General features: G+C 47.1%; 3 annotated features.

Moving 5' to 3' along the window:
• Window positions 3,132–3,892: an enhancer, noted in NCBI's record as "OCT4-NANOG hESC enhancer chr6:169669953-169670713 (GRCh37/hg19 assembly coordinates)". NCBI's record gives its function as "activates a minimal SCP1, AML or CMV promoter by ChIP-STARR-seq in primed H9 embryonic stem cells {active_cell/tissue: H9 hESC(primed)}" and the evidence as "EXISTENCE:reporter gene assay evidence [ECO:0000049][PMID:30033119]".
• Window positions 7,145–7,644: an enhancer, noted in NCBI's record as "H3K4me1 hESC enhancer chr6:169666201-169666700 (GRCh37/hg19 assembly coordinates)". NCBI's record gives its function as "activates a minimal SCP1, AML or CMV promoter by ChIP-STARR-seq in primed H9 embryonic stem cells {active_cell/tissue: H9 hESC(primed)}" and the evidence as "EXISTENCE:reporter gene assay evidence [ECO:0000049][PMID:30033119]".
• Window positions 10,288–10,790: an enhancer, noted in NCBI's record as "H3K4me1 hESC enhancer chr6:169663055-169663557 (GRCh37/hg19 assembly coordinates)". NCBI's record gives its function as "activates a minimal SCP1, AML or CMV promoter by ChIP-STARR-seq in primed H9 embryonic stem cells {active_cell/tissue: H9 hESC(primed)}" and the evidence as "EXISTENCE:reporter gene assay evidence [ECO:0000049][PMID:30033119]".

The raw sequence follows: 11,818 nt of genomic DNA, 5'->3' as shown, positions 1-11,818 counted from the left end.
CAGAAAGTTTACCATCATGGTAGAAGGCTTTGGGGGAGCAGGGGTTTCACATGGTGGGAGCAGGAGCAAGGGGTGGGGGAGGTGCTACACACTTAAATGACCAGATCTCGTGAGACTCACTATGGTGAGGACAGCACCAAGCCATGAAGGATCTGCCCCCGTGACCCAAACACCTCCCACAAGGCCCCACCTCCAACACTGGCAATTAGATTTCAACATGAGATTTGGGCAGGGACAAATATACAAACTGTATCAGGTGCATAGCACTGTTTATTAAATGAGTTGTCTTAGGTAATTCGACTTGGACCATGGAACTCATTCAAATTGCATATCTTAACAATTTCAGTACTGGCTGATTTAGCATAAAAATCTAGCAAACTATTTCCTTGGTATTTAATTACTTTTTGTCCTGCTTGGGTTAACAGTTTTATAAACCAGTGACTCTCTTCACTAGAGTTCTGGGAATTAGAAATTCTTACTCAGTCTAAGCAATATGATTCTAAAGTAAGTGATCAGAAACTTGTATTCAAGAGTGCTTGTTAACATCCTTTCCATCCTTTCCATGAATCCCTTTGAATCTTACTTGCTTCTAAAGACCTTTCAGAAAATGCCTTGGAATTAAGCAATCAACTGTGAACAAGACTTAATATGGTCATGGTCAAAAATGCAGTTGACAGGAAAATCTGGTTATTTCTGTGGCCTGTAATAATTTAACATAATAACCATAATTGTGACTAATAATATCTATACAACATATCAGAATTTTAGGAATCTCCTATAATTTGGAACACATATTAAAAACATATCCATAAAAAATATAATTTTTTGTGTGTATTGATCTGGTGTCCTAAAACCTTGCTAAACTCATTATTTTCAGTAGGCTTTTTTGGATAGGTTATTAGATTTTCTACATGGATGATCATGTTGTCTTCAAATAAAGGGACAGTTTTACTTCTACCTTTCCAGCCTGGATATTCTTTATTTCTTGCCTGTTTCACTGGCTAAAACTTCCAGCATGATATTGAATAGAACTGATAGGAGCAGACATTTATGTATTGTTCTGCACTTAGAATTCAGACTTTTATTACTAAATATTATATTAGATATAAGATTTTTATAGGTTCCCCTTTTCATGTTGAGAAAGTTCCCTATATTTTTGGTTTCTCTCTTGCATTCGTTTCTTTCTACCTGATAGACTTTCTTTGAGTGCAAGTCTGCTGGTGTTGAATCCTTTCCACTTTTGCATGTCTGAAAATGTCTATGATTTACTTTTGTTTTTGAAAAATATTTTTGCTGGGTGTAGAATTCTAGGCTGAAATGTTTAAAAAAAAACTCAGTACTTTAAAGATGGGACTCTATTGTCTTCTTATTTACTTTGATTGTTTCTTAGAGAAAAGTCTTGTCTTAGCTTTGTTCTTTTGTACAGAATGCATTTTTTCCTCTGATTCCTTTTAAGATTTTCTCTTTACCACTCATTTTAGACAATTCAATTATTATGTACGTTGATGTAGTTTTCTTAATTTTACTTATGATTAGGGTCGATTTGGCTTCATCAATATGTTACATCATCATGCTCAAATTGTGGACATTTTTTGCATTATTGTTTTCTTGTCCCCTTTCCTTTGAAACTTCAATTATATGTATATGTCTGCTTGAAATTATCCTGTAGCTTGTTAATGCTCTGTTTATTTTTCTTAAATGCTTTGTTCTCCCTGTGTTTTCTTATGGATAGTGGCTGTTGCTAGGTTTCTAAGTTCACTAAACTTTCTGCAAAGTCTAATCTACACACATGTATTTTTCATCTCACACATTAGAAGTTCTATTTGGGTGTATGTTATATCTTCAATGTATGTACTTAACCTTTTAAACACATGAAATACAGTTATAAAAACTGTTTTAATGTCATTTTATGCTAATTCTAAAATCTGTGTTAATTCTGGGGCAGTTTCACTGGACTGAATTTTCTTCTCATTTTACATTCTACATTCCAACATCATTGCACACTTGGTAATCTATGATTAGAAAACAAGATATTGTGAGTTTTGTGTTGTGGAATGCTGGATTTTTTAACCTCTCTATACATATTCTTGAATTTTATTTTAGGGTTCATCTAAACTACTTAAAAACAGTTTAATCCTTTCAGGTCTTGCTTTTAAGATTCATGAGGTGGAATGAGTGCAGCATGTAGTTTCGGGCCAATTATTCCTCACGATAGGCAAGAGCTTTCCAAGTACTTTCCTCAATCCTTTGAAACATAAAGCTTTTCACTCAAGCCAGTGGGGCAGGCACATCTGCAGGTGCTGTATGAGCATGGGGCACCCTCTCCCGCAGGGTGTGGTTTCCGCACAGGAATGCCCCGATGCTTCAGATCTCTGCGATTCTCTCTGCTCAGCTCTGTCTTCTAAAGACCTCTCTCCTGTGAGTCCTCACTTCTCCGTCTCCCCAGGCTCTCACTTTTGTCAGCTCAGTGCAGGGAGCCCGCTGGGATTTCCCTGCCGCCTTCCTGCTCTGGGGCCTGGAGACAATCTCCAGCAGTCAGTTGGGTGATCACAGAGCCCAGCTCACTTATTCCTCACGTTATGGCTTCACTCCCATTAATTGTTGATATCTAGTATCTGGAAATTTGTTTCTTTACATATTTTGTTTAATATATTTTATACAGTCTTTTTTTGGGGTGGGGGGGCTTCAGGTGGAAGGGCAAATCTCATTGCTGCTACTTAACCTTCTCTGGATGTAAAAGAGTCCCTCCTATTTGTTGGTTTTTCTATTAGTGATTGGCCTTTGTGGAAGAATGATAATTTTTCAGGCACTATCTTGTGGGTAAAGAAGAAATAGTTCTAAAAAGCGAGAATAAAAGGACAAAATATTTTTGGTACATGTTTTTCTAGTCCACTCTGGACTCAAAGGAGTTGGAATATATACCCAAGTGGCTTCACTATATGTTCTACCTCTTAGGAATTGCCCAGCGGTGACTATTTTTATCCCAGCCTGGAAATATGGGATGGAATTTTGCATGATTTAAGAGGAACAAATCTATTAAGAAAATTATTTTTTCTGCCTTATACAGTGTTATAAAGTTGAATGAGCTAATGATTATAAAGCACTTTGAAAGTCGTTGAGTTGAACTCTGTAAAATATTTGGAGATTTATCCTGGGCCAAATATGAGTGAGCACGGCCTGTGACACAGCCCTCAGGAGGTCCTGAGAACATGTGCCCAAGGTGGTCGGTGTGCATCTTAGAGAGGCATGAGACATCAATCAGATACATTTAAGAAATACATTGGATAGGTCCAGAAAGGCAGGACAACTCAAAGCCAGGGCTTCCAGACTACAGGTGAATTTAAACATTTTCTGGTTGACAATTGGTTGAGTTTGTCTAAAGACCTGGTATAGAAAGGGAATGTTCAGGTTAAGAGAAAGATTGTGGAGACCAAAATTCTTTTGAAGTCTTATAGTGACTGCCCTTAGAGACAATAGGTGACAAATGTTTCCTATTCAGATCTTAGTTAATCTCTTTAGAATTGGGAGGGTCTGGAAGAAAAATATGCAGCTATGTTAATAGAGATTCTTTACAGATGCAAATTTTCCCCCACAAAGAACAGCTTTGCAGGGCCATTTCAGAATATGACAAAGAAACATGATTTGGGGTAAAATGTTTTGATTTTCTTCTTTGTCTCATAATGTTATGCCAGAGTCAGGTTGGAAAGTAAAACTCATCAGAGGGCATGACTCCCCAGTCCCCTTAGGAATTCGGGCAAGATAAAACATCAGAGTTTAGTCTTCAGTGTCTTGTACAGACAAGTCTAATGAAAGTGAGATGTGGGCTGGTAAAGGCAGATAACATTTTATTATTTGATTTACACATTAACCTGCGTTGTTCTATAATTTCCTATAAGACCTTGGCACATCATTCTGAGGAAGAGACTCTGGACTGCTTCTGGGACAGCACAGATAAAACAGGGTTTAGACATACTAAATCTCTTGTCTCAGGGCCCATGGCCTGCAATGTTTGAATGAGGAACTGACTCATAGATTTTGCTTCCAATTTCATCTCTCTTACAACCACAGCAGTTTCCAAATTTTAACTTCTTTTCTAAGTTCAGCTACTTATTCTGGTATTCCTCTGTTGCTGTCAACTCCCACACCACGAGCAGAAGGCTGTTTCCAACTTCTGCTCCAGCTGACATTCTCTCATCCAGCTTACTTCCCACTTATTATAGTAAACAGGGTCCAGAGCCCCACCTGCCTCCGTCATTGCAAAACAACTGAGCTGGAACATGCATGAGCAAATCTTGGAATTCACTTATTTTGTTAAATTTTATCTCTACTTTTATAGCAGGCAATGAAATGAACTTTACTCTTGGCCATGACAGCAACAAGGGCGCATGGCTCCATGCAGGGTCTCGGCAATGACAGCAACAAGGGTGCATGGCTCCATGCGGGGTCCGTATCCCACAGCCCATCTCTTCCACCCTTGGTTCCTGCACCAGCAGTTCTTAGCCCCTGGTTTGAGGAGTGGAGCCCGGACTTGCAGTGAGAAAGGCAGCAAGATTCTGGCCTTCCAGGCTCATTTTGCAGAGGGTATTCAAAATCCCTGGGCTTCTGTGATTTATCTGCTGTTAATGATCTACTGTACAGGGCAGATGCAAAGACCAGAATAAGAATGTCATGGGAAAACTCATTGCTGGTACTTAATGCCAGGCACTGTTCTAGGCCCTGGAAGAAAAGAGACTAAAAATTTATGTTCTCATGGAGCTTTTGTTCTAGCGCAGCAGTTCTTTATAAACTCCAAAGTTCCAGGTAACTATAGGCAGTAACATTTAATCCAGTTAGAGCCATGGGCCTCCCTGTAGTATAACTGAAATCCATAGACCTTCTCCCCAGAAAAACATCCACATATCCACACCTATATTTTCATTTAATCTGAGCAGTTTTAGTTGTTCAAACATTGATTCTACCCTAAAAGCCTCTCCGCATCTAACTGCTCTTCTAAATGAGTGAAATAAAATACTTGACGATCAGAGAAATTTCCATCTTTTCCATTTTTCATATCTTCAAAAATTAGAAGCACACCAAAATGCATGTGATAGGAAGCACTTTCAGGATCAAAGATTTAAACTAAATGGGTTCCTTTTAAACCCCTCCTGCTATGGCTTATTTTTTATCCCCCCTCCCTTCCCTGAAGCTTTAAGGCAGTTGCTGGAGGAGTGAGTGTGTTCTTAATAAGTGTCATTGCATGGCTCATGGCTGACCTGTGCTCACTGGGAAACTCCACTCAACAGAGGCCATCCATTTGCTTTCTCTTCTTTTGGGGCTTTTAATTTTTGCTCATGTAAGATGTGAAGGTTAATTTTATGTGTCAACTTGACTGGGCCATGGGGTGCCCAGATATTTGGTTGAATGCTACTTCTGGGGTATCTGTGAGGATGCTCTGAATGAGATGAACCTTCGAATTGGAACACTGAGTAGAGCAGATGGTCGTCCCCAGTGTGGGTGGGCCTTGTCCCATCAGCTGAAGGCCTGAACAGAACAAAAAGGCTGACCCTCCTCCAAATAAGAGAACTCCTGCCTGATTGCCTTTGAGCTGAGACATCAGGCTTTTTCCTTCTTTGGGGCTGGAATCAAAGTATTGGTTCCTCCTGGGTATTGAGCCTGTCAGCCTCCAGACAAGAACGACACCACCAGCTAACCTGGGTCAACAGTTTGCTGACTGCAGATCTTAGGGTCTTGTCAGCCTCCCTAATTACGTGATCTGATTCTTCATACTAGATCTCTTTCTCTCTCTCTCTCTACACACACACACACACACACACACACACACACACACACTCTATTGGTTCTGTTTCTCTGGAGAGCCCTGGGTAATACACAGTTTGCCAAGCACTTTTCAAAACCGTCCAAAACTGAGTAGAAAATGAAGGACCTGAGGCCTCTTTATGAGGTCATACACTTTAGGGAATCTTGCAAAATTTGGCCTTATCACTAACTTACAATGACACTGAAAAGAAAGATACTCTAAACTCTTTCCATGATGGCCTTTTGCAAAAGGTTAAGCTTGCTCAATATTGGGAGTCATATTTACATCTCTCATGCTAGCTAGGGTATTTTATAATCACTGAAATTCTTCTGCCCTTTTTGACTAAATAATAAATTCCACAATAATAAGGCACGCACATGCACACAGCAAGTGAGTGGTGAGCACAGAGGCGATGGCTGAGCATCCTCAACTTGGTCTCCATGCTCAAATTCCTGCCTAATTACAAAAATATTGTGCAAATGTCAGTCACATGAATCTGTTTGTGAAAACGCCACGGCCATGTGTGCATCCTCCCAGGACACCACACAGAGAGTGACTCAGGACCAACATGTTTCCCTGCAGAAGACGAATATAGAGAAAACACCCCTGAAGTTAAGCAAATGAGGACAGAATCCTGCTGAAACGTGACATGAATGTTCATGCTTCTTAATCACATATGATGACAGGAAATAGGTCCGACTGTGTCTAAAACAGCCATCCCCATTCCTAGATCTGGTTGGTGTGGCAGAACCTGGTTTTTTCTATATTATGACTAATAGGATGACAGCCTTTAGGATTTGTAAACAATAAAAGTACCAGGAATCTCTATCAAGTTAGACAACATGAATGCATGCAAGTGGATCCTTGTTGAAGACATGACGAAAACCCTTTCTTCTCACTGAACGAGGCTGCTGCTCTGCAGGTTCAATAGCCGATGAGACCTTATGAGTGTTAGCAGAGACCGCCCAGCCCGGGTTCTGCATGGAAAAGAGATGGCTGCAGCCACCCCCAGAGGATCTCTCAACTGACCCCTGTGTATGGGAGTGACAGCACACCCCCTGCCCCACCCCTGGGGGCCCTGGGACACACAAGCTCCCACACTGGAGAGAAGCGTATTGGCTTGTTCATAAGAGGAAGAGGTTGCTCCCTTACTAACAACAGGCACAGGATCCAGTCACGGGAAATGCCCTTAATCTCTCGTCACTCTGGCTTATTCTTCCATCCCTGTGTTCCCTGTATTCTCCCAATTCAAGAACCTTCTAGAAATGGGGACACCCTAAGCCCAGCCCTCCCCTTCTGCATGGGTCCCTCCTGACAAGGCCGGACGTAGGTTTTCAGCCCAGCCCCAGCATCTCCTGGTCCTGGGGCAATGCTTCTGCACACCCACAACTCCATGCATGAGCCCACCTTGGATTTTCTCTCTTAAACTTGGCATCCTCACTAAGCCTGGACCCTTTTAGAACCTGTGCTGGCTCCTGCAAGGCCCTGGCCCCCAGCCAGGCCTGTTTCTCACTCCCTTCGTCAGAGGAGCAGGATTGGATTCCTGGTCTCTCCCCAGATGTTGCTGCCAGGGCCCAGGTGACCTCAAGATTGTACTGTGGCCCCAGTGTCCTCCACTGCACAGTAGCCGTGCAGAATTAAAGAACCTGACACCAGGGTTTGCCTCCAGGAAACCTGTGTGCATTGGAGCCGGGTTGCCATGGGGCATGGGCACCTGCCTTTCTGTCTCTATGGCCAGGCCAGTGTCTCCAGCTTCATCTGTTCAGTTTCAGCTGCTCCTCCCCTCCCTCTCCTCCTGGTCTCCTCCTTGTTCTGTGGCCTGTTTAGCTGAGGCCTTGTGTGTGGCCCCTGAGCCCACACTGTTAAGAGGCAACATCACAGAGTGACCACGGCTCAGAGACAGGAGGTGGGGAGCCGGGAGAGGCCCAGGTGGCGGAGAGACACTGCCCGGTGCCTTATGAGAACTCAGTCCTTGCCGAGGGCGCTGGCTGCTCCCCTGCTTCCCAAAGACGAGCTCATCTTGAGAATCGCTCCCCTGTCCCTGCTGCTTTTCAACCCACTATCTGCACTTGCGGGGCCACAGGCACCTGTCTGGGTTCCAAGACTCTTCCTTTGGGTGCCTTCACACTCTGCCCTAAATGCCATCCCAAGCCAGGATTAGCACCTCCCCTCAGACGGGGGCTAATGCTATGTGTGTGGGCGCTGCACCTAAAGCTCTGATTCCTGCCACTTCATAGATGGGGGTTTCCCTGCACTTCCTTCCTCAAGTGCTTCCTCCACCTCTAGCTGGATCCTCTCCCAGAGCCTGATCCACCCTCGTGGCACTGATGTCTGCTTCTGTGGATGTTGCTATCAGTCAGCCCATCCTAATTGCAAAGCTCAGTCCATCCTAATTGCAAAGCTCAGCTCATCCTAATTGCAAAGCTGTTCCCCTCCCACCCTGCCTTTGTGCCAGCTTCAGGAGGAGGAGGGCACATCAAGGGACCCCGACACCCTCAGGGAATGCACTGGGGGATCTCAGGGATGCATTTGAAAAAGGGCTTCTATCCCTCCTGTTTCTCCGCGGTCCATGCTGTGTTTTCCGTGGCATGCTGGGCCCTCAACCTGGCACCTTCACTAGTATTTCCAAGAACTCCGAGTATCCCAGTGATGTTTGGGGACAGGCACAGAGCTGATGCAGGCCCAGCAGATGCCAGCGGGCTCTGCTGCCCTTGGCCTGAGCACATTACTTAGCTTCTTTGATTCTCAGTCTCTGTAAAATGCGGCCAATGATGCTCACTGCTTGTGAGGATCAGAGGAGATGCATTGAACGGAAGGCCCAGACTTGGCGGGCATTTATCCCTGTGGATGGCGTCTATCCCTGTGGATGGCATCAATCCCTGTGGATACGAAAAGTAGGTCCAGACCTACCCCTTCTCTTTTTGCTGTCAGGGACTCACTCACCAGTAGTCTGGGGTACCCACCTGCATCCACCTCTCAGCCTCCATTTGGGTACCTTGGATCTGCCTCTGATGTTTCTCTTTCCTCTGAGCACCGACTGCTTCCAGCATGCAGAGAGGCCTGGACCTGTGCTCCTGTGCCCATCCCTGTGAAACAACTCAGTGTCCACAGCACAGGACCAGGCCCTCTGCTTCCTCCGCCATCCTCAGAGCCCCTGCCCTGCTCTCTCCCACCATGCTGAGCAGCTGCTTTCTGGGGCCCACCAGGAGTGGGGATTCTGAACCTGTGACAGTGAAAGCTCTGCAGAGCCAGCGACACTCACAGATTTCCGGTGGCAGAAGCCGTCCTTCTCAATTCCGGAAAGTAGGAGCTCAGCTCTGTTCCTTAGATTTGAGATTGATGTCTCAGATAAAGAACTCTGTAAGAAGCAGCCTCAAAACTCATCATTGCACTGGATTCTCCCTCCACAAAAGCAGGGTGCTGTGTGCTACGTTCACAGCCGGCACCTGCTCAGGGTGCTGTGTGCTAGGTTCACAGCCAGCACCTGCTCTGGGTGCTGTGTGCTACATTCGCAGCCGGCGCCCGCTCTGGGTGCTGTGTGCTACGTTCGCAGCCGGCGTCTGCTCAGGGTGCTGTGTGCTACGTTCACAGCCGGTGCCTGCTCAGGGTTCTGTGTGCTACGTTTGCAGCCGGCACCTGCTCAGGGTGCTGAGTGCTATGTTCACAGCTAGTTCATGATCATTGACTAGCAGAGTCCTCGGTTTATGGTATTTAGTAAGTTTATGATTGACTTAACAAATGAACAAAGATATTAGTTCATTCATTTCTGTGTGAAAACCAGAGTTTCTTCTCCTCTGATGGCATGTGGTGAGCACCAGTCAGATTCTGGTCAGACCAGCTTGGCTACTTTCCATCTCTCTCAGCTAAACACCAACACCCGGGCTCACAGCCAAGAGCGGGCCCATCCGCCAAGAGACTCATGCCCTCAGCCAGTGTCCATCACTGGCTCTGTGCTGCACTCTGCTCTGTGTGGGGGATGCAGAGCAACCGAGAGAGGAAGGTTGGGTGCTGGTCCCAAGATTCTCTTCTAGAGGAGCTCATGCTGGTGGGCAAGAAGCCGGATGTGCGTGGTAAATGGTCAGCAAGCTGACCTCAGAGACAGCCAGCTGACCTCAGAGACAGCCAGCTGACAGATGCTAAGGAAAAAGTGAAATGACCCAGAAAGGGACTGGGATGCAGGGTGGGGGTTTTGGGGCCAGTGGTCAGAGAAGACCCTTGGAGGAGGGTTTGGGCCTGGGGTCTGGGTGACTAAAGACCCAGCCTCTGAGGATGTGATGGGAGAAGGACAGAGAGCTCAAGGACGGCATCTGAGGCACAGAAGGGCAGCTGGGAGGGAGGGGAAGCTTGGAAGGGGCAGGGCCAGACTATGGGAGGAAGCTGTGAGAGTCAGCTCTTACTAAGTGCACTGGAAGGTCCCTGGGGGATTTTTCCAGTGGGGTCTCCGTCACAGATGTCCCTGTGGTTGCTGTGTGGGGAGGGGCTGTTCGGAGGGTGGGTGCAGGGATGGAGGATTGGGATGCCTGGCACTAGTGAGCCACTGACCTCTCTCTGCTGTTAGGCTGGGATCTGTTCTGAGCACTCTGTGGGATGTGGCCTCAGCTCCCTAGGAGAGGGCCCCAGGCTTGTCCCCATTTTATTATGATTGTGCTGGTCAGAAGGTGGCTAGGTGGCTTCCTGGGGACCCTGAGTGAGGATGTCCGCTGACCACTCCCATGGCCAGGATCCAGAGGGAGAAGATGGTGGAACCCTGGGTTTGCAGTAGTGGCTGCGGGTGCAGGAGGCTCGGAGGGGCCTGGTGGAGCCCTGGATTTGCAGTAGTGGCCGCGGGTGCAGGAGGCTCGGAGGGGGCCTGGTGGAACCCTGGGTTTGCAGTAGTGGCCGCGGGTGCAGGAGGCTCGGAGGGGCCTGGTGGAGCCCTGGATTTGCAGTAGTGGCCGCGGGTGCAGGAGGCTCGGAGGGGGCCTGGTGGAACCCTGGGTTTGCAGTAGTGGCCGCGGGTGCAGGAGGCTCGGAGGGGCCTGGTGGAACCCTGGGTTTGCAGTAGTGGCCGCGGGTGCAGGAGGCTCGGAGGGGCCTGGTGGAACCCTGGGTTTGCAGTAGTGGCCGCGGGGGCAGGAGGCTCGGAGGGGGCCTGGTGGAACCCTGGGTTTGCAGTAGTGGCCACGAGTGCAGGAGGTACGGAGGGGGCCTGGGCCAGGGCTGCGCTCTTGGGACTTGCAGATGGATTGGACCCCAGTTCCAGGGAGGGATAAGAATCAGAGGTGACGCAGAGGTCTTGCCTTGTGGAGCCTAGTGATCAGGACACTTGCTGGTTTGGGGGAGGTTGGGATGGGGTGGCCTCTGTTCCTGGGGAGCGGGGAGGAGTTTTACATCCGATGGGCGTATTTCAGTGGAAGCCAGATGGATGAGTCTAAAGCCTGGGCAATCCTTCGTTAGACATGATGTTTAAATCCATGGGCAGGAGACAGGTGAGGCCACTGGAAAGAGGGAGGTGGGGAGGGGCAGACAGAGCCCCCAGGGCATGGACCTCTGGCTGGAGCTGAACCACAGGTGTGGTGAGGGAGAGGGCTCCTTTCTGCCCCAGAAACTCCTGTCCCTGAACCATTTCCGTTGTCAGGTTGTGCATGGACTGCGTCAGAAACAGCAAATCCTGGTGTGGCTCTGTTCCTTTCACAGTGACGCAGGGGGGTTGAAAAGCAACTGGACACATTGAATGTGCAGAGGCCTGAGCTGAAGAAAAGAGCATGGGCTGGGGACCAGGGCCAGGCACACTCGTCACAGCCCTTCTGACTCAGAGGTTTTTATATCACCTCCCCTTGCTCTTCTCTCTGGCCTGAATCTGCTTCCTAAGCACCCCAAGGTGATCTGGGGATACTTGCCGGATGGGCGCTGCTTGGAGCAAGAGGCCTAGCTTTCAGCCTGTCTCAGCTTTTGATATGCCTTCCTCACTAAGCTTAATTAGTTCTAGCTTTTGATTTGCAGTGAGAAATCAAAACTCTCCCTTTCACTTGAACTCTTAGA

This window comes from Homo sapiens, chromosome 6, assembly GCF_000001405.40.
Source record: "Homo sapiens chromosome 6, GRCh38.p14 Primary Assembly".
In the NCBI taxonomy this organism is placed as follows: domain Eukaryota; kingdom Metazoa; phylum Chordata; class Mammalia; order Primates; family Hominidae; genus Homo; species Homo sapiens.
This window is presented reverse-complemented; position numbering and strand designations above follow the sequence as displayed.